General features: G+C 39.1%; 2 long non-coding RNA genes across 2 annotated transcripts in view; one reads left to right on the plus strand and one right to left on the minus strand.

The window, feature by feature from the left end:
- LOC105369928 (uncharacterized) overlaps positions 1-15,937 on the plus strand; it is a 33,018-nt gene extending 17,081 nt beyond the window's left edge. Inside the window, exon 3 of the long non-coding RNA XR_945250.4 lies at positions 10,059-15,937. This is a non-coding gene — a long non-coding RNA (uncharacterized LOC105369928). The remainder of the gene's footprint in view (positions 1-10,058) is intronic.
- Positions 1-20,096, minus strand: part of LOC105369927 (uncharacterized) — a 35,878-nt gene that overhangs the window by 8,128 nt on the left and 7,654 nt on the right. The gene's annotated exons all lie outside the window — the stretch shown is intronic.

The following is a 20,096-nucleotide window of genomic DNA, read 5'->3' on the forward strand; positions in this document are numbered from 1 at the left end:
GACTTAAATGTTAATCTCAACTAAAAAAAATCTTCATATCAACATCTAGATTAGTGTTTGACCAAATATCTGGATGATGTGGCCTAGCTAAACTGACACATGAAATTAACCATTACAGACATCTTCCCACTATCTTGTCTGTGGCCCTCAATAGATGCTCAGTAAATGATTCCACCACTGGCCTCCTCAGTGGCAGGTTTGTGCAGTGTAAGTTGTGTCCTTAGCCAAGCCATGGGAATGGAGGAGGGCTCTGTTGTATTGCAAGAGAAGGCACAGTGCTGGAGCTTAGTGCTTTCCCCATACTCACATGCTTAGGAATCACGTGGACAGCTTGTTAAAATGCAGATTCCTGTTTGGTAGATCTAAAGTGAGGCCCAAGATGGACATTTTTAACAACCATCCAGGAATGTCAATGCTGCTAGTCCATGGTCCACACTCTGAGCCGAAAGGCAGTAGAATTTCTGAAGCTCTGGTTTCAGCAAGATGGGTGGGAGGTAACTGTATCTCTGTAGAGTGAGAGGTGACCTGAGGGGTAGCCAAAATGGCCTCTAGTGTGTACTTGAAAGCAGTGGACTCCAAAGCTTTTTTGTTCCTTACAGTCACCTAGAGAGCTTCTAAACCACAGATGCTCCACCTCTGGGGAGTGGGACTGAGGGAATTCAAGGCTCAAGACTCCATGTTACTCTTCAGAGTTACAATACTCCCAGGTAATTTTGATGCAGACCTGAGACAACTCTTTGAGAAACACTGGTTTAAATTTTTAAGGCTTAGAAAAACTGCAAGTATGTTTTCTGGAAAAAGTTCTTAAGGCACCTGCAACCACATTTTCTTGGGGGACTAAAATGCTGGAAGGGTAGAAGGCAAATTTTGTTTCATTTAGAGTTTTACTGAGGCTGAGAGGTTACATAGACCTAGGGAATGGTAAGTCTATTACACAGGGAATAATTATATATGGAAAAAGTATTTTTAAATTCCTAATCAAACAAGACATGAATGCCTCTTCTGCTCCATGTTTACCCAGGGGAAGAACAAAGAATGGGCCATATGACCTGTGCATAGATGTAGAAAATCTCTTACTGTATGGCTGTGATATTTAGGATTGGTTGAGCTGTTATATCAAAAATTCCTGGAAGACTATACTTTCAGGGATCATTTCCATAGTTTACTAGAGAAGTTTATCTGAACATGTAGAGCACCAGCTCTCTGGGTCCCCTAGGAAGCCATTTCTGCCTTGTCTCTCAGAGGTCCTTGGGGAGGGCTGCCAGAAGTACTGGGAAAAGGCCACAGGGAGAAGGAAACCTTCAGCTGAATTTTGTAACAATTCCAACCAAACAAGAAGTCTCCTGGCCAGAATTCGGGGGAGGGCATGAAGCCAGTGGGCAGACCCCACAGGTGGGGAAGCATGAAAGCCCTACTTGTTTTTGTAGCTGGGAATCTGGTAGCCTGGGGCAAGTTCTCAGCCCTGCTTGCCCCCTGCCTGGAAACAGACTCAATGCTGCCGTGGGAGGAAGCATGGTAGGAGTGAGATTGGCCTTTCGGGTTGCATGGGAGCTGAGTGAGGCCTGTGATTGCCAGTTTTCCCCCACTTCCCTGACAACCTGCATGACACAGCAGAGGCAGCCATAATCTTCCTAGGAACATAACTCCATTGACCTGGGAACCATACCCCCATCCTCCACAGCAACCACAGCAAGACCCACCCAAGGAGATTCTGAGCTCAGACATGACTAGCCCTGCTCCCACCTGATGGCCCTTCCCTACCCACCCTGGTAGCTGAAGACCAAGGGCACATGCTCTTGGGAGTTCTATGGCTGCACCCACCACGTGATCCCATACTGTCACAGCTGATGCTCTCTTGAAAGCACCACCTCCCAGCAGGCGGCCAACCAGCACAAAAATAGTGTATTAAACAATCAAAATTAAGGACTCTCACACAGTCCATTTCACTCCTCTGCCACCTCCACCAGAGGAGGTGCTGGTACCCACGGCTGAGAGACCCACAGATGATTCACATCACAGGGCTCTGTGGAGACAACCAGCAGTGCCAGCCTGGAGCCTGGTAGACCTGCTAGGTGGCTAGATCAAGAAGAGAGGTAACAATCACTATAGCTCAGCTGTCAGGAAGCCACATCCATAGGAAAAGGGGGAGAATACTACATCAAGGGAACATTCCAGGTGACAAAAGAATCTGAACCACAGCCTTAAGCCCGAGACCTTCTTTCTGACAGAGACTACCCGAATGAGAAGGAACCAGAAAACCAACTTTGGTAATACGAGAAAACAAAGTTTTTTAACACCCCTCAAAAATCACACTAGCTCACCAGCAATGGATCCAAACCAAGAAGAAATCCCTAATTTACCTGAAAAAGAATTCAGAAGGTCAGTTATTAAGCTAATCAAGGAGGCACCAGAGAAAGGTGAAGCCCAATTTAAGGAAATAAAAAAAAATGATACAAGAAATGAGGGGAGAAATCTTCAGCGAAATAGCATAAATAAAAAACAATAAAAACGTCAGGAAACAATGGAGACATTTATAGAAATGCAAAATGCTCTGGAAAGTCTCAGCAATAGACTTGAACGAGCAGAAGAAAGAAATTTAGAGCTTGAAGACAAGGTTTTACAATTAACCCAATACAACAAAGACAAAGAAAAAAGAATAAGAAAATATGAACAAAGCCTCTAAGAAGTCTGGGATTATGTTAAATGACCAAACCTAAGAGTAATCTGCATTCCTGAGGAAGAAGAGAAACAAAAAAGTTTGGAAAACATATTTGGAGGAATAACTGAGGAAAATTTCCTGGACCTTGCTAGAGACCTAGACATCCAACTACAAGAAGCTCAAAGAACATTTTGGAAATTCATTGCAAAAAGAGCACCACCTAGGTACATTGTCATCAGGCTATCTAAAGTTAAGATGAAGAAAAAAAATCAAGAGCTGTGAGGCAAAAGCATCATGTAACCTGTAAAGGAAACCTATCAGATTAACAGCAGATTTCTCAGCACAAACACTACAAGCTAGAAAGGATTGGCGCCCTGTCTTCAGCCTCCTTAAACAAAACAATTATCAGCCAAGAATTTTGTATCCAATGAAACTAAGCTTCATAAATGAAGGAAAGATACAGTCTTTTTCTGACAAACAAATGCTGAGAGAATTTGCCACTACAAAGCCAAGCACTACAAGAACTGCTAAAAGGAGCTCTAAATCTTGAAACAAATCCTGGAAACACATCAAAACAGAACCTCTTTAAAGCATAAATTTCATAGAAGCTATAAAACAAAGTACAAAAAAAAAAGGTATACAGGCAACAAATAGCATGATGAATGAAATAGTACCTCATATCTCATACTAACATTGAATGTAAATGGCCTAAATACTCCACTTAAAAGATACAGAATTGCAAAATGGAGAAGAATTCACCAACAACTATCTGCTGCTTTCAAGAGACTCCCCTAACTTATAAGAACTCACATAAACTTAAGGTAAAGGGATGGAAAAAGACATTCCATGCAAATGGACACCAAAAGCGAGCAGAAGTAGCTATTCTTATATCAGGCAAAACAAACTTTAAAGCAATAGCAGTTAAAAAAAGACAGAGACATTATATAATGATAAAAGGCCCTGTCCAACAGGAAAATATCACAATCCTAAATATATATGCACCAAACACTGGAGCTTCCAAATGTATACAACAATTACTACTAGACCTAAGAAATGCGATAGACAGCAATACAATAATAATAGTGGGGGAGCTCAATATTCCACTGACAGCACTAGACAGGTCATCAAGACAGAGAGTCAACAAAGAAACACTGGATTTAAACTCTACCCTGGAACAAATGGACTTAACAGATATTTACAGAACATTCTACCCAACAATTGCAGAACATATATTCTATTCATCAGCGCATATAACTTTCTCCAAGATACAGCAGATGATAGACCACAAAACGAGCCTCAATAAATTTAAGAAAGTTGAAATTATATCAAGCACTCACTCAGACCACAGTGGAATAAAACTGGAAATCAACTCCAAAAGGAACCTTCAGAACCATGCAAATACATGAAAATTAAATAACCTTCTCCTGAATGATCATTAGGTTAAAGATGAAATCAAGATGGAAATTTAAAAAATTCCTTGAACTAAATGACAATAGTGACACAACCTATCAAAACCTCTGGGATACAGCAAAAGTGGTGCTAAGAGGAATGTTCATAGCCATAAATGCCTACATCAAAAAGTCTGAAAGAGCACAAATAGACAATCAAAGGTCACACCTCAAGGAACTGGAGAAACAAGAACTAACCAAACCCAAACCCAGCAGAAGAAAGGAAATAACCAAGATCAGACCAGAACTAAATTAAATTGAAACAAACAAAGAAACAAACAAAACATATGTAAAAGATAAACAAAAAGCTCGTTCTTTGAAAAGATAAATAAAATTGATAGACCATTAGCAAGATTAATCAAGAAAAGAAGAGAGAAAATCCAAAGAAGCTCAATAAGAAATGAAACGGGAGATATTACAATGGACACCACAGAAATACAAAAACTCATTCAAGGACACTATGAACACCTTTATGTGCATTAACTAGAAAACTTAGAAGAGATGGATAAATTCCTGGAAATATAAAACCCTCCTAGCTTAAATCAGGAATAAGTGGATACCCTGAACAGACCAATAACCAGCAGTGAGATTGAAATGATAATAAAAAAAATTGCCAAAACAAAAAAAAACTCTAGGACTCTGGCTTAATTCTACTGGACATTCAAAAAACAATTGGTACCAATCCTATTGACACTATATTCTACAAGATAGAGAAAGAGGGAATCCTCCCTAAATCATTCTATGAAGCCGGTATCACCCTAATACTAAAACAAGGAAAGGATATAACCAAAAAACAAACAAACAGACAAAAAACTACAGACCAATATCCCTGATGAACACAGATGCAAAAATCCTTAACAAAATACTAGCTAACCAAATTCAACAACATATTAAAAAGAGAATCCACCATGATCAAGTGGATCTCATACCAGGGATGCAGAGATGATTTAACATAAGCAAGTCAATAAATGTGATATATCACATAAAGAAAATTAAAAACAAAAAAACACATGATTATCTCAATAGATGCAGAAAAAGCATTCAACAAAATCTGGCATTCCTTTATGATTAAAAATCTCAGCAAAATTGGCATACAAGGAACATGCCTCAAGGTATTAAAAGCCACCTATGACAAACCCATAGCCAACATAATGCTGAATGGGGAAAAGTTGAAAGCATTCCTTCTGAGAACTGAAATAAGACAAGGATGCCCATCTTACCACCCTCTTCAACGTAGTATTGGAAGTCCTAGCCAGAGCAATCAGACAAAGAAATAAAAGCCATCCAAACTGGCAAAGTGGAAGTCAAATCATACTGTTTGCTGATGATTTGACTGTATACCTAGAAAACCCTAAAGTCTCATCCAAAAGCTCCTAGAACTGATAAAAGAATTCAGCAGTTTCAGGATACAAAATTAATGTACACAAATCAGTAGCTCTCCTATATACCAACAGTGACCAAGCTGAGAATCAAATCAAGACCTCCACCCCTTTTATAGTAGCTACAGAAAAAAAATTAAAATACTTAGTAATATACCTAACCAAGGAGATGAAGAGGAAAACTACACAATACTGCTGAAAGAAATTATAAATGACACAAACAAATGGAAACACTCCCATGCTCATGGATGGGTAGAATCAATATTGTGAAAATGACCATACTGCCAAAAGCAATTTACATATTTAACGCAATTCCTGCCAAAATGCCACCATAATTCTTCACAGAAATAGAAAAAACAATTCTAAAATTCATATGAAAAGAAAAAAGCCCACATAGCAAAATAAGGCTAAGCAAAAAGAACAAATCTGGAGGCATCACATTGCCTGATTTCAAACTATACTATAAGGCCACAGTCACCAAAACAGCATGGTACTGGTATAAAAAGAGGCACATAGACCAATGGAATGGAATAGGGAACCCAGAAATAAACTCAAATACTTACAGCCAACTGATCTTTGAAAAATCAAACAAGAAATAAAATGGGGAAAGGACACCCTACTCAACAAATGGAGCTGGGATAATTGGCAAGCCACATGTAGGAGAATGAAACTGGATCTTCATCTCTCACCTTATACAAAAATCATCTCAAGATGGATCAGGGACTTAAATCTAAGACCTGAACCTATAAAAATTCTAGAAGATAACATTGGAAAAACCCTGGTAGACATTGTCTTAGGCAAGGATTTCATGACCAAGAACCCAAAAGCAAATGCAATAATAACAAAATTAAATAGCTGGGACTTAACTAAAGAGCCTTGCACAGCAAAAGGAAGAGTCAGCAGAGTAAACAGACAACTCAGAGAGTGGGGAAAAATTTTCACACTCTATATATCTGACAAAGAACTAATATCCAGAATCTACAATGAACTCAAACAGACCAACAAGAAAAAAAAACAATCCCATCAAAAAGTGGGCTAAGGACATGAATAGACAATTCTCAAAAGAAGATATACAAATAGCCAACAAACATATGAAAAAATACTCAACATCATTAATGATCAGAGAAATGCAAATCAAAACCACCATGTGATACCACCTTACTCCTGCAAGAATGTCTATAATCAAAAATCAAAAATAGTAGATGTTGGCATGGATGCGGTGAACAGGGAACATTTCTACACTGCTGGTGGGAATGTAAACTAGTACAACCACTATGGAAAACAGTGTGGAGATTCCTTAAAGAACTAGAAGTAGAAGTACCATTTGATCCAGCAATCTCACTACTGGATATCTATCCAGAAGAAAAGAAGTCATTATACGAAAAAGATACTTTCATACACATGTTTATAGCAGCACAATTGGCAATTGTAAAAATGTGGAACCAACACAAATGCCCATCAATCAATGACTGGATAAAGAAACTGTGATATGTGTGTATATATATATATATATGTACACAAACACATACACACACACACACACACACACACACACACACAATGGAATACTACTCAGCCATAAAAAGGAATGAATGAATAGCATTCACAGCAACCTGGATGAGATTGGAGACTATTATTCTAAGTGAAGTAACTCAGGAATGGAAAACCAAACATTACATGTTCTTACTCGTAAGTGGGTGCTAAGCTATGAGGATGCAAAGGCATAAGAATGACACAGTGGACTTTGGGGACTCAGGGAAAAAGGGTGAGAAGGGGTTGAGGAATAAAAGACTACAAACAGAATGCCGTCTATACTGCTCTGGTGATGGGTACAGCAAAATCTCACAAATCACCACTAAAGAATGTATTCATGTAACCAAACACCACCTGTTCCCCAATAACCTACCGAAATAATTTTTTTTTAAAGTGACTGAAATAACAGTCTCTTTACTGAGACCTATTTTCTTCTCTTTCATGTAAAAGAAACCTGCAAGTAAGTCATGGTGTGGTGTAGGTAGTGTAGTGGTTCCAGAAAACTGTTAGCAGTACAGACTTCTTCTGTCCTTAGCATATGTCTCCTTGGTCCAAGATGACTGCTGGAGAACCAGCCATCACTTCCACATCTTTAGTAGCAAGAGGGAGGGAGGATTCAGAAAGGGCATATGTTTTTCCTTTTAAGAAAACTTCCTAGAAGTTGCATGTAGCATTTACTTTTATATTTTAATGTTTATAATTTATTCAAATGGCCAGTTTAGCTGGAGTATGAGAAATGTTTCTTCAAGCCCACCCTGTATCAGAATTCTCAGCTAAAATTCTTGTTCTTTTATGAGAAAAAAGGGAAGACTGAACATTGGGGCCAGACAAAACTCTCTGCCAGAGGAGGTGCTGTGGGTTGATCAGTCCACAGAGGTGCCAGGCTGGTGGGTAGGGGCAAGTAAAGATTGTTAATAGAATGACCTAGGATGGAACAATATAAAAAAGGGAGAGGTTCCACAGTTAATTTTGCAATCATGCTGGCCTTTATTCATGTATTCAAAAAATGCTGGTGGAATTCCTTCTGTGTGCCAAGCTCTGCACTGTTCAGTGATACAACCATGAATGAGATATACTCATGAATGAGATACACTCCTGTCGTTTAGAAAGTTAATTTCTATGGAGAGTTAGTGATCATTTACAGGCTATTACAATGTTTCAATTGCTACATTAGTGCTAAACATAGATGCAGAGATGGCTCATAGGAATGCCATCCAATCTAGTCTTCAGAATCAAGAAAGAGGTCCCAGGAGAGATGAAGGGTGCACTGAGAACTGAAGAGTAGGGCCGAATTATTAGAAGTGTGTGTGTGTATGTCTCTCTGTGTGTGTATCTTTGCCCAAGTGCACATACTGGGGCAGGGTGTGGGGTTGGGGGGGAGTATTTCAGATGCAGAGAAATCTCTTGCACTAGAAAAAGATGCGAAAGGGATCCAATATGGCAAGCTGAAGAGAAAGTTAGCTAGATCCTCAACCGCAGTATACAGGCACATCCAAGCCAAAAGCTAAGCCGGTGAGTGTGTGCACCGACATGCTTGTGTGCTCACTGTGTTTTTTATTGAAAGGCGAGGTTTTGCTAGGAGTCAGGGGAAGAGAAGCAGTTATTTGCAATACCATGTAGCCAATCATATTTTCAACATTCTCTACACAAAATAAAATATTTTGCTGATGATTTTTTTCCACATATAAGGGGTCATGATAGTATGATCGTGACAGTACCATAAGGAATTGGGGAGATAGAGCAAAAACCAAACCTTTAACCCTGTACAGGTTTTCTGCATATGTGCAGAAAGACTGGAGTTATTCTCCTAGGGTTATTTGTTTGAAAAGAGAATTTCACGTTCTAAAGGGCAGAAAGAGCCATTGAAACCAAGGATTCTTTTTCTTTCTTTCTTTCTTTCTTTTTTTTTTGGTAAAGATACCAAATTTGAAAATTTGGCAAAAAGTGCTTAGATGATTGAGGTCTCTCCGATCCACTAGAGTGGCTCTATCACAAATCCTGGGAAACCAGGATGGAACTTTAACATGCTGATAAAACTTATCCACAACCCCAAATATGCTGTCATAATTAAGAAGTTTTTGTTTCTCCTAATGGAGTTTGATGGTCTTAGTTTATCAGCAACCTTTGAATTGAATTAACAACACGAAACTAATTAATCCTGGTATACCCCAGCAATCCACTTAGAAGCGGCATGCAAAACTCAATTAAATCCTCTTGCCTTTTTATGAAGCATGCACACTCAAGTAGCTTGGGTTTACAGCTGAGAATTAGGTAACAAAAAGAAAGAGCTTGTCATGTTTTTCAAACCCAACTTTTGAAATTAGACAATGGGTTTTAGAATTCTCCCCTGATTGGGAAAGTTGGAATCTAAAAGGACAGAACAAAACCTTCCCTGAGCTAATCAACTCTTTCCTCTCTCACCCTTCTTAGATCAGAACAGAAAGATGGTGGTATGCACCTCTGTCTCACTGGCCCTGGTTGGTCACCCGAACCTTATAGTGTGGGCTTGATTTTTGAATGCTTTTTTTTTTTTTTTTTGGCAAACTCTCCTTTTCCTGGCTTCTGGCATGCTCTGTGCTGTCAGTCTTATTGATTAAAACCCTTGGTGGATTTCAAGACCTTCTTGCCCTGTATTGTCACAGATCTACTTAAAATGGATTTTTTCTTTTTGCCAGACCTGCATTCTCAGCCAGTCCAGCAGATGCAAAGCAGGTGGTACTGAGATTTCAAATAGAAGCTGTTTCTAGTTATTGGGGGATAAATGGTGGCATTATAACTTCTTTATTTTTTGTCTCTTTACACTTCTTTTATCTAAAAAAAAATCTTTATACCTCTGAATGTATACAGTTAATTCAAACAAGTAGCATTTATTGACATTACTAAAAGAGTATTTGGCAGGGGTAATAATCTGAGGCTTGGGATATCTGAAACACAATGTGAAAAAAATGTGACAATGCACTACAAAGAAAGAAGTGTGTTGTCGTGTGTACTGCTAGCTGCTTGTCTCACAATTATTTCCCTCTTTCCCCTTCTCAACAGCTCTTGACCCTGGAAAAAATTCATGGAACTTGGTAAATTTGTTTCAACTTTTCTCTCTTCATGTTGGGAACCCATGACATAGGATGTGTCAGTCAAAGCATTTCTTCCCCTGGCTACATTGATTAGTTCATAAGCACACCAGGCTCTAAGAAGGAATGAATCTCAGGACTCTTGCTTGGAGTGCTGGGATAAAGGCCCTCCCTCTTTTTCAAGATGAAATATGCAAAGTGAAGTATGCAGATAGCAGGACCAGAACTTCTGCAGCCATTTTGGCACCAAGAGGGTGGCTTTGTCCCAGGACAAAGCTGACACATGAAAGAGTCCAAAGGCCAGAGGCATGCTGAGAAATTTGTAGAGATATTCATGTTGAACATTGAACCTCTGGGTACAGCTGTAGCTAAAGCTGAAACTATTGCTGGCCTTTTCACTTTGGTGGAACCATACATTTTAAAAATGGTTATGACAGTTAGGGTTGGGTTTTATGTTAACTTAAAATTGAAAATATTGTGACTCTATGAGCTAGCTTTTATTGCATAATAAAGCAATCCCAAACTCAATGGCTTATTAAAAAATAAATAAAATACTTCATTCACATAGTGTGACTGCCTTTGGGTTGGTTGGGGTCAGCTGATCTAGGCTCAGCTTTGCGAGTTGCTCTGCTGATCTTGTCCAGGCTTGTTTATGAGCCCACTGGGGGTCAGCTGGTTTGTTCAGCTGGCTGAGGATAAACTGGGGCTGTGCTTGAGTCTGAGCTGGGTCAAGGGAGCTTATCTGGGGCAGATGAGTCGTACATGTCTCTCATTCCCTGAGGACCAGCAGGTGAACATAGGTATGACTGTTTTCATGACAGGGTAGAGGCACAAGAGGGTTAGCATGGACATGCATGGCCTCTGGGGGCCTGTGCTTGTTCCTGGCACAACATCATTTCTCCTTCATTCTATTGACCGAAGCAAAGCACATGGCCAAACCCAACATCAGGAGGTCAGGAAATATACGTAACCTCTTTGGGGAGGAAGTGAAAAGTCACACGGTAAAGAGCAGGAAAAGAGGGAGGGATGAAAACATGGGACGGATAATATAATCTGCCACACTAACTGATAATGTAATCAAATTCAAGCGCAAACACTTGTTATCTACATAGCTCAATATCGTTAGAACACTGGGTTGTGAAACTATATAGAAAGTTGTTATGCCAGATGTGGCAGCCATTTGAAACCTAGCTTTGGTGAGCTAATCTATATTCACGTTTATGTTTTTTTTTTAAGTGAAGAAGCAAAATTTAACTTTGAATTATGCTTTGGTTTCTGTAAAGCTGATCTCTGTTTAGACATGAATTAATCAGACTCTACATTTAAAATATTTCTCCTCCTTGCATATACTATTGAGTTGATAATTCTAAAAAAACCAACCATTTCTTTGTAAAAATTACGCTTGTGTGTATGTATGGAGCTAACAGTTCCCCTTTATGTATGAACATATTTTACTTATTTCACTGGGAAAAGGTACAGGTATTGAAAGCCTGAAACTTTTCACTTTCCTCATTTGATTTAGGCTTGGATATTCTCTTGAGATTATGAGTAATAACGATAATGGCTAATGCATATGTAGCGCTTAGTATGGGCCAGGCACTGTTCTAAAGTACTCTACATAAACGACTTCATTTAGTCTCACGACAACCTTACTACACATTATTATCATCCTCATTATACAGACAGGGAAACTGAGGTACAGAGTCAGATACCTGGTAAATTTCAGTTCTGGGATTCAGACACAGGCTGGTTTCAGATTTCATGATCTTATATGCTAATATATGTCAAAACTGCCATTTTACTATACCACCCTATGATATTTTTTATTAATATTATTATCTTCCTGGGCTGTGAATTCCTAGAGGCTATTTAGATATGGTTTTATTAATTTTTGTTTCCCCAGTGCGTAGCACAGTGTTGCGTACAAGGTACATAGTCAGTGAAGGTTATTGATACACATTGGGTCCAGAAATACATTTTGCACTATGAAAATAAGTAATTTTTCTAATCTCCAGTTCATTTTTGTTCTTGTTTGCCATGCTACCCTGATATGTGCTTAATCTTGACTCATACATTCTGTGCTATTTTTGAGGGTAAATGCGTTCTTTTCCTTCCTTAAAATCACAGTCCTAAATACCTCAGTGGTGTTAGTCTGCTATTGACACTGACAGTCAACAAAGCTTCAGGATGCAGATTAGAATGAGAAGTTGCTTAAGTGTGGAGTTTCTTTTCTGTTTTATGTAAGGAAATATAGACATCTGTCTAGAAATGAGAATTATTTCATCTAATTAATGAATCATTTCTTGAAAAGAAATTAAGCATCAAATCTCTAACTGTGATTAACTCTTCTAAAACATGTGGTATCAACAGCAGGATGTTCCTTCCTCCAAGAAGACATTCTGGTTTCTAGCAATTAAGTATGATCTCTCCTTTGAACCTCTGTAATGTTTTATTCCTTGACTTTAATTTTGATTATTTGTGCTTTTACAGCATCTCCATTATTGTTTTGGACAAGAACCTAAGTTGTAGCCCATACACATTCCGTACCATGCTATACTAGCAGTCTCAAACATTCACAGAGCTGGGAGGGAACCTAGAAATGGCTCATAGTAAACAGGTCATATGTTTTCGTCTCCTTTAAGTTCAGTAATTAACACAAATATAACACAATAGAGTTGGCTTCATTTCGTTGATACTATATTTGCATGAATGTTGATGGATTAGACCTTGAACCACACAACACTATTAGATTATAAGTTTCTTGAAGGTAAAGTTTATTTCTTACTTATTGACATACCGCCAGAGCCTAATATGGTGGCTGGTGCCTAATAGTTAGCAGTAAAGAGATGGGTGATGGATGGATGGACGGATGGATGGGTGGAAAATTATCAAGGAAGTAAGAGTATAATTTTTATAAGGTATATATTAGTACCCTCTGATCTCAAGGAGATATTTTTTACTCTATATGCTTATGGCAGCTGAAACTCTACTGTTCTCACCCAAATTAGTAACAACAGTCATAACACTGATTATTGAAAATACAAAGCAAAGCAAAAAAAAATTGTTTTCAACCATCCGAACCATAAATTATACTTCCAATTGAATGCAAGAGAAGGCAGGTTCCTTATTTAATCTGACTTTGCTGCCTTTGGTCACAATATTTTTGCAATTTTCTTGAAGGAGATATCACTCTTTTAGCCGTATATTCCAGTGTGCATGTTAAAAGTCATTCCCATTATAGTTACATGCTCACATTTCATTAACGTAAAAATATGACATCTAGATAAACAACAGGTGACAGAGGTAAAAAGAAAAAAAAATTACATTTATTGAACTAATGAGATAATATGGTGATCAGCTGGGCAATTTGATGGCAAAACAAGTGTTTCAAAATATTCTTAGAGTCCTTTGCCACTGAATAATGATGAAATATGTCAATTATAAGACCAGGCCTCCTCTGCATTTAGCTGTCAAAGACTGCATTTTAAAGGGACTGATTTCTAGCTGTTGCTTCCCTTGATTTATGTTCCACAACATTTAAGTAGGTGGTTAGATGAAAGAGTTGGAAGTGTGCCTCGAGCACCTGACTATCATTTTACAGCCTCTTGCATGAACTGTTTTTAAAAACAAGTATCATTATCCTGTGTACCTTCCTGACAAGGACATTTTGACATTTTCCTGATAAATTATTGATAAGTTCATTGAGAGAAGGAAAGAGCTATGCAACTGCTGTTACCTAACTTTAAGCATCCTGTAGATCATTTTTTATGCCAACTATTATTGTATTTCTTTAGATCACTTAAACTGTGAAAATTCTGTCTTTATTATAATTTATATCTAAGGGGATCTTTGATCTTTGTAGGCTTCTGTGGAAAGTATTGATTACCAAGGAGGAATCCAGGGTTTTTAAATCTATGTGAAATTTTTATTTTTCCTTTCATGACTATTTTAGAGAACCCCTGCTCCTCATCCTAGGATAACGATATCAGAGACCTAAAAATGTAATTTTCCTTTTTGATTGCTGAAATCCTGAGATCATTGTTATTCTGTTATTTATATCACAGTTACACATATCATAGTTATAACTGTGACTCTTGCTAGCAACTTCCCTTCTAGGGCCTTCTTTTTTCTCTTGAGCACATTTCAGAATATTTTGGCCGAACTATCCCCATCTCCTTGTAGGAAACCATGTTCTATTCTACATTTTAAATGCGCCCCATGCAGCCTCTATTTCGCTGTGGTAAACTGTAACGTTCCAGATTATTAAGACTGAAGTCACAGATTTGTGTATTTGTTTGTGTATTCCAATTTCCTTGTTTTACTTCCAGGAAGCCGTTGCCTAAACTTGTCCAATATTGTATTTCTAGATCTTTTATTACTGATCTACCTTTTCTTACTTACAAAGATATTCCTTTCTTTTTCTACCAAGATCTTAAGAATTCTAAAAAGATGTGGGAAAAACATAACAAAACCTTCTGGGGATTCAGTGTAGACAGGAATTTGATTTAACAAATAAATGCAACTTTAAACATGATGAATAATGTGGGAAAATAAAAAAAAGATTATTTTCTATGATAAAATTTTGTCCCCCTCCCCTGCCATGTATATGGAAGTGTTATAATAAAACAGAGAAAGTAATCATTTTTTTCTAAATACTGTCATCTTGTTATTGCCATTTTAAGTTGTGGGCTTGTCTGTAACACTGGCAAATAGTCATAAAATATGTTGGATTAGAAAGAGAGTGACAAGAGCCAGTGAAAAGACCTTGGACGCATCAAGGAGAGAAGCTTCTAAAAGCTCTGCTGTTTGCAAAAATAGGCTTTTGTTAAAATGGAAATCTCCAGTCATCTCTAACATAATTGATTGGCAAATACAATGAGTGACCTAGCTGAACCAGAAAGAATTTATACAGTACCAACAACAAAATCCTAGCCTTTTAGCCAAATATGTTTTCTTTTCATTGAAATATGATTGACTCATAATAATGCTAATTATGCCTAATTATCATCTCAATTATTTTACCCTAGCAAGAACATTTCGTCATTGTGGTGCTTATTTGTTATCTAATAATAATTTATATTGTTTCCACTTTTTTCAAAAGAAAAGTTTCACTCATTTAAACATACTACTATGGTTTGGTGAGATAGATAATTATTATTATACTGTATTGGCTTTTATTTGATTGTTGACCTTTGATGAATTAGAATAAACTTCTCTAACCTCTTCTATAATAAGTTCTACCAGGAGACTACTTTAAGTGGCATAATTATAACTGGACCTCTGTGGGAAGGTCACTTGTGGCTTTACTGATTAATTGGGGGAATTGAATTACATTATCTTTTTGTGGGGCGAATGCGGCCAAGGACTTAATACAGAAGCAATAAGAAAAAGTTTAGACTACTACTATAGCCTCAGAGTTGTTTAAAAACAAAACAAAAAACTAAAATTTACAGACCATTAAATGGGAGAATTCCCTTTTAACATTGCAATCATGTCTTCAGCTTGTCAGCCTTTGAACATACCCAGATTTGACGAAGTCAGTTCACCAAACAGCCCGCCTCTTCCATCTGTGGACAGTCCTTCTCCACTTTGAACAGAAATGCTGTAGCTCTTAGTTCTGCCTCTACCTCTTGGGGCCACACAGAATGCATCCAAAACCTCTTCTGCATGACAGGCCTTCAATTTTAATAACGATGCCTTGCATTTGTAGAGAATTTGCTAGTACATTATCACTTTTAATCCTGTCAATTGCCCTGTGAAATAGGCATCGTTATCCTCCATTTCACAGAACATTTTCCTCACAGCCTGTACCTTTCTCCAAACCTGTCTTGCTCAACCTTCCCATCTTGAAATACCCTCCTGTTCTAGCTGCTCTCCTCTGAATTCTTTCTCTTTTTTCTGTTTTTCTTTGGCCTAAAAATGTAGCTCTGAGAACTGGATGGGCTACTTCAGGCCTGATGGTCACCAACAGTGGTTTAAACTATTGTAAAGACATTCTTGTCAGGAGATAAGAGATTACATTCCTGTTTTTGGCAATGCCATCCTATGGTAAATTAACCTGGACTTGTCCTCAACTTTAATGAGTTTTAATCATGCAGATGCTAAATCATCTTCCTAAGTCGCTTTTTCCCATCTCATACTTGTGAAGGTTTTAAAATGTATGTATCATGTGTTTGTAGTGTGTTTTCTATTATTAATTGTTTCTCAAGGGCAGGTGCTTTGTCTGTTTTCTTTACCAATGAATCTGCAGAGTAAAGAGCTTGACACATGGGAGCAGGAAGGAAACACGTATTGGATGAATGAGTGGGTGATCAATCTAGGCTGGCTTAGATGTGATTGATGGTGCATTTCCTGGCTTTTGCTCAGAACTGGGTAGAATGGCTTTGTCTCCAGAGGCCCTGGTCTATACAGGTGGTGAGGTTGTGTTCCACTGAAGGTACCAGGTGTGGAGCACTGGCTTCCAAAGTGGACGATCACCCGGGGTCTGCATGAGATCATTTGACAGTCTCCTGGACCATCCCCTTGACCCTTGGGGGACTCAGATGTCCTTGACCAGCCTGATTATAGGAATGCCGGCTGTTCCCACCTCTGGTGTCTTTCCTTACCCTGCATCATAGAAGGGTCCAGCCAGTCTTCCACCTTGTGAAGGTTTTACTTTTAGAATAGCACCAATTTACTCCTGTGAGATCTGGGGACAATGGTACTGACTACTAGGCAAGGGCGCATGTAACCTGAGTTCAAATTCCTGCTGTACCACTAATTCATTGTCTTTGCATCTCAGTAAGTGGCAACCCCATCCTTCCAGTGGTTCAGCGCAGAACCTTGAAGTCAGCCCTGACTCCTCTCTTTAAATCCCTGCCAGTTTCACCTTCAACCCCTCTAGAAGTTGATCATTTCTCCCCACCTCCATCATCACTTCTAAGGTTCAAGCACCATCAACTCTTGCATGGACTGTTGCCATGGCCCCCTCCTGAGTCTCTTCACTTCTGCTTGTGCCCCACTATGGCCCATTCTCAATACGCCAGCCAGAGAGATCCTTTAAAATCATGTTAGAACATGTTTTTCCTTTGCTTAAAATTTTCCAGCATCTTCTTGTTTAACTCAGTGCAAAAGGTAAAATACTTAACAATGCCTACGGGGCTCCATACAATCCCTTTCTCCCCTCCCCCTCCCATGATTCTCCCCTTGTCTCCCACTATTTCCCCGTGGTTCATTCCATTCTGGCCACCCTGGACATCTTGTGCTCCTCAGACTAAGTAACCTCCCTTTTTAGGTCCTAGCCACTAACTGCCTCCACATGAAACCCTCTTCTACTAGATTTCTGTCTGCCCCATTTCCTCAGTGTTATCAGGTTTCTGGCCAAATGTTCCCTCCTCAGAAGTCCCTTACCTTACCTAGTTATGGAAAATAGCATGCTCAGTTCTCTTTAGCCTACTGCCTTTTCCTCCGTAACACTTGCCACCGCCTGCCGTGTCACTTATTCATTTGGTTTCTTTACTTATTGTGTCTCCCTTTATTAGAACAGAAGCTCCTTATGGCCAAGTCTGATTTGTTTACTGCAGAATCCCAACATCTAGAATAATGCCTGGCACATGGTAGGGACACAACAAAGACTTGTCAAATAAAAGAATTTTTGGAAAACTGCCACATTTCTGACTTTGGTTCCTTGTTTGTGAAGAAAAAAAAAAGTATTTGTATTAGTTTTCTAGAAATTAGTCTCCTAGTAAAGTAACAAAGTGTCACAAACTTGGTAACTTACAACAACAGAAATGTATTCTCTCAGAATGAGTACAAAGTCAAGATGTTGGCAAGGTTGGCTCCTTCAGGAGGCTCCCAGGGAGAATATGGTCCACATCTTTCCTTGCTTCTCAGACTTCTGCCAACACCTCATGTTCCTTGGCTTGTCAATAGATCACTCCAGTCTCTGTCTCATAGGAACTTTACCTTCTCCTCTGTGTCTTATCTCCTTCACTTGTCTTACAGAAACTCCTTTTTTTTTTGAGACAGAGTCTCACTCTGTCACCCAGGCTGGAGTGCAGTGGTGTGATCTTGGCTCACTGCAACCTCCACCTCCTGGGTTCAAGCAATTCTCCTGCCTCAGCCTCCACAGTAGCTGGGATTACAGATGTGTGCCACCATGCCTGGCTAATTTTTGTATTTTTGGTAGAGATGGGGTTTCACCATATTGGCTAGGCTGGTCTCGAATTCCTGACCTCAAGTGATCCGCCTGCCTCAGCCTCCCAAAGTGCTGGGATTACAGGTGTGAGCTACCATGCGTGGCCTTATAGAAACTCTTGTCATTGGATTTAGGGCCCCCTTCATCCAGGATGATCTCATTTTGAGATCCAAAACTTAATGACATCTGCAAAGACCTTTTTTTCTAAATAAAATCACATTCACAGGTTCTGGGTGAACATATCTTTTGGGGGGCACCATTCAACCCACTGTAGTGCTATTGTGAGGACTACACAAAATAAGGTTTGCAGAAGCGTTTCATATAATTTAATGTAGTATTCAGATATGAGCCATTATGCTAAAACACTTCGTCCTCGCCAATCTGGTCGACTGTTTTAACCTATTGAAATATGTTTAAATACAATTTCTAATTTACAGTGTATTCATTGGCCTTCCTAACTCCAGGTCATTAGTAAAATTGCTGAATTTGTGTTCTATGTCTTCATCCCAGACATATTGACACACTGAGTAGAGCAGAGCCATGGAGAAATCAGTGAGCCTGAAGCCAGCTGCTTGTGTAATTGGCATGAATCAGTTAATCATGACCCTTTGGGTGCAAGGGCTTCCTCCAGTTATGAATCTCCCTCAGGTGACTTCCATCTTTCTATATCACTATATTATCTACAGGGATATTATAATATTCTGTTGAATGTCTTATAGAAATATAGATCCAGCTGGCCTATTCTGTTTCATGTATTTATTTGTTGTCTTATTTATCTAGTCATTCAATCAGGCATCACTGAGTGCCTACTAAGTGACAGGCACTGAGGAGTTGGCAGTGAACCAACAAGATGCTGTCTCTACCCTAAGGGAGCTCATTGTCGCTTATATTCTGGTCTAGAAACTTGATTTAGAATTTCTTTTTTTTCTTTGAGACAGAGTCTCACACTGTCGCCCGGGCTGGAGTGCAGTGGTGCAACCTTGGTTCACTGCAACCTCTGCCTCCTGGGTTCAAGTGATTCTCCTGCCTCAGCCTCCTGCGTAGCTGGGATTACAGGACTCTGCCACCATGCCCAGCTAATTTTTTTGTATTTTTAGTAGAGATGGGGTTTCACCATGTTGGCCAGGCTGGTCTTGAACTCCTGACCCCATGATTCGCCTGCCTTGGCCTCCCAAAAGTGCTGGGATTACAGGTGTGAGCCACCGTGCCCGGCCAATTTAGAATTTTAAAAATGTGTGTGCATTGGAGAAGGGGGCTGGAAATGAAGTCAGCCAGTCATGACTTTTTGGTCTTGGCCATCACCGTTCCTTTTCTAGGAACCATCCAGTTAGCGGCTGTGTTCATGAACTCCACTTTTCTCCTATTCTTGCATGATAATTAGAAGTGCATTTGCTGGCCTTCTGTTTCAGGATGTGTGTTTAGGTTTCTATGATTCTTTAGATTCTGTCCGTAGAACTTGAGCAATCCCTTTGGAAATTTCTCTTGGTTCGGTGGGGTAAAATTCATGGAAGACATCAGATCTGAACCCCTTCAGAGAACTCAGATGCCCTTATTATAACACTATTATAAATATTAGTCCTTTTAATGACAACAACCACTACTATAGTTTGTTCCGCAACTCCACTTACTAGTTTTTTAAATCCTCACAATTTCTCTCATGATGAAAGCATTTTACCTTCATTTTGCAGGTCTAGAAGCTGTGGCAGTGAGGGTTTACGTGACTTGCCCAAGGTCACACGGCTCTTTCAAACCCAAGGCTCAAATTCTTTTACCACTAGGCTATGCTGCACCCATTCTTTGCCTTTAATCTCAGAGCTGATGAACTCCCTTAGG

Source organism: Homo sapiens, chromosome 12, assembly GCF_000001405.40.
Source record: "Homo sapiens chromosome 12, GRCh38.p14 Primary Assembly".
NCBI classification, from domain to species: Eukaryota; Metazoa; Chordata; class Mammalia; order Primates; family Hominidae; genus Homo; species Homo sapiens.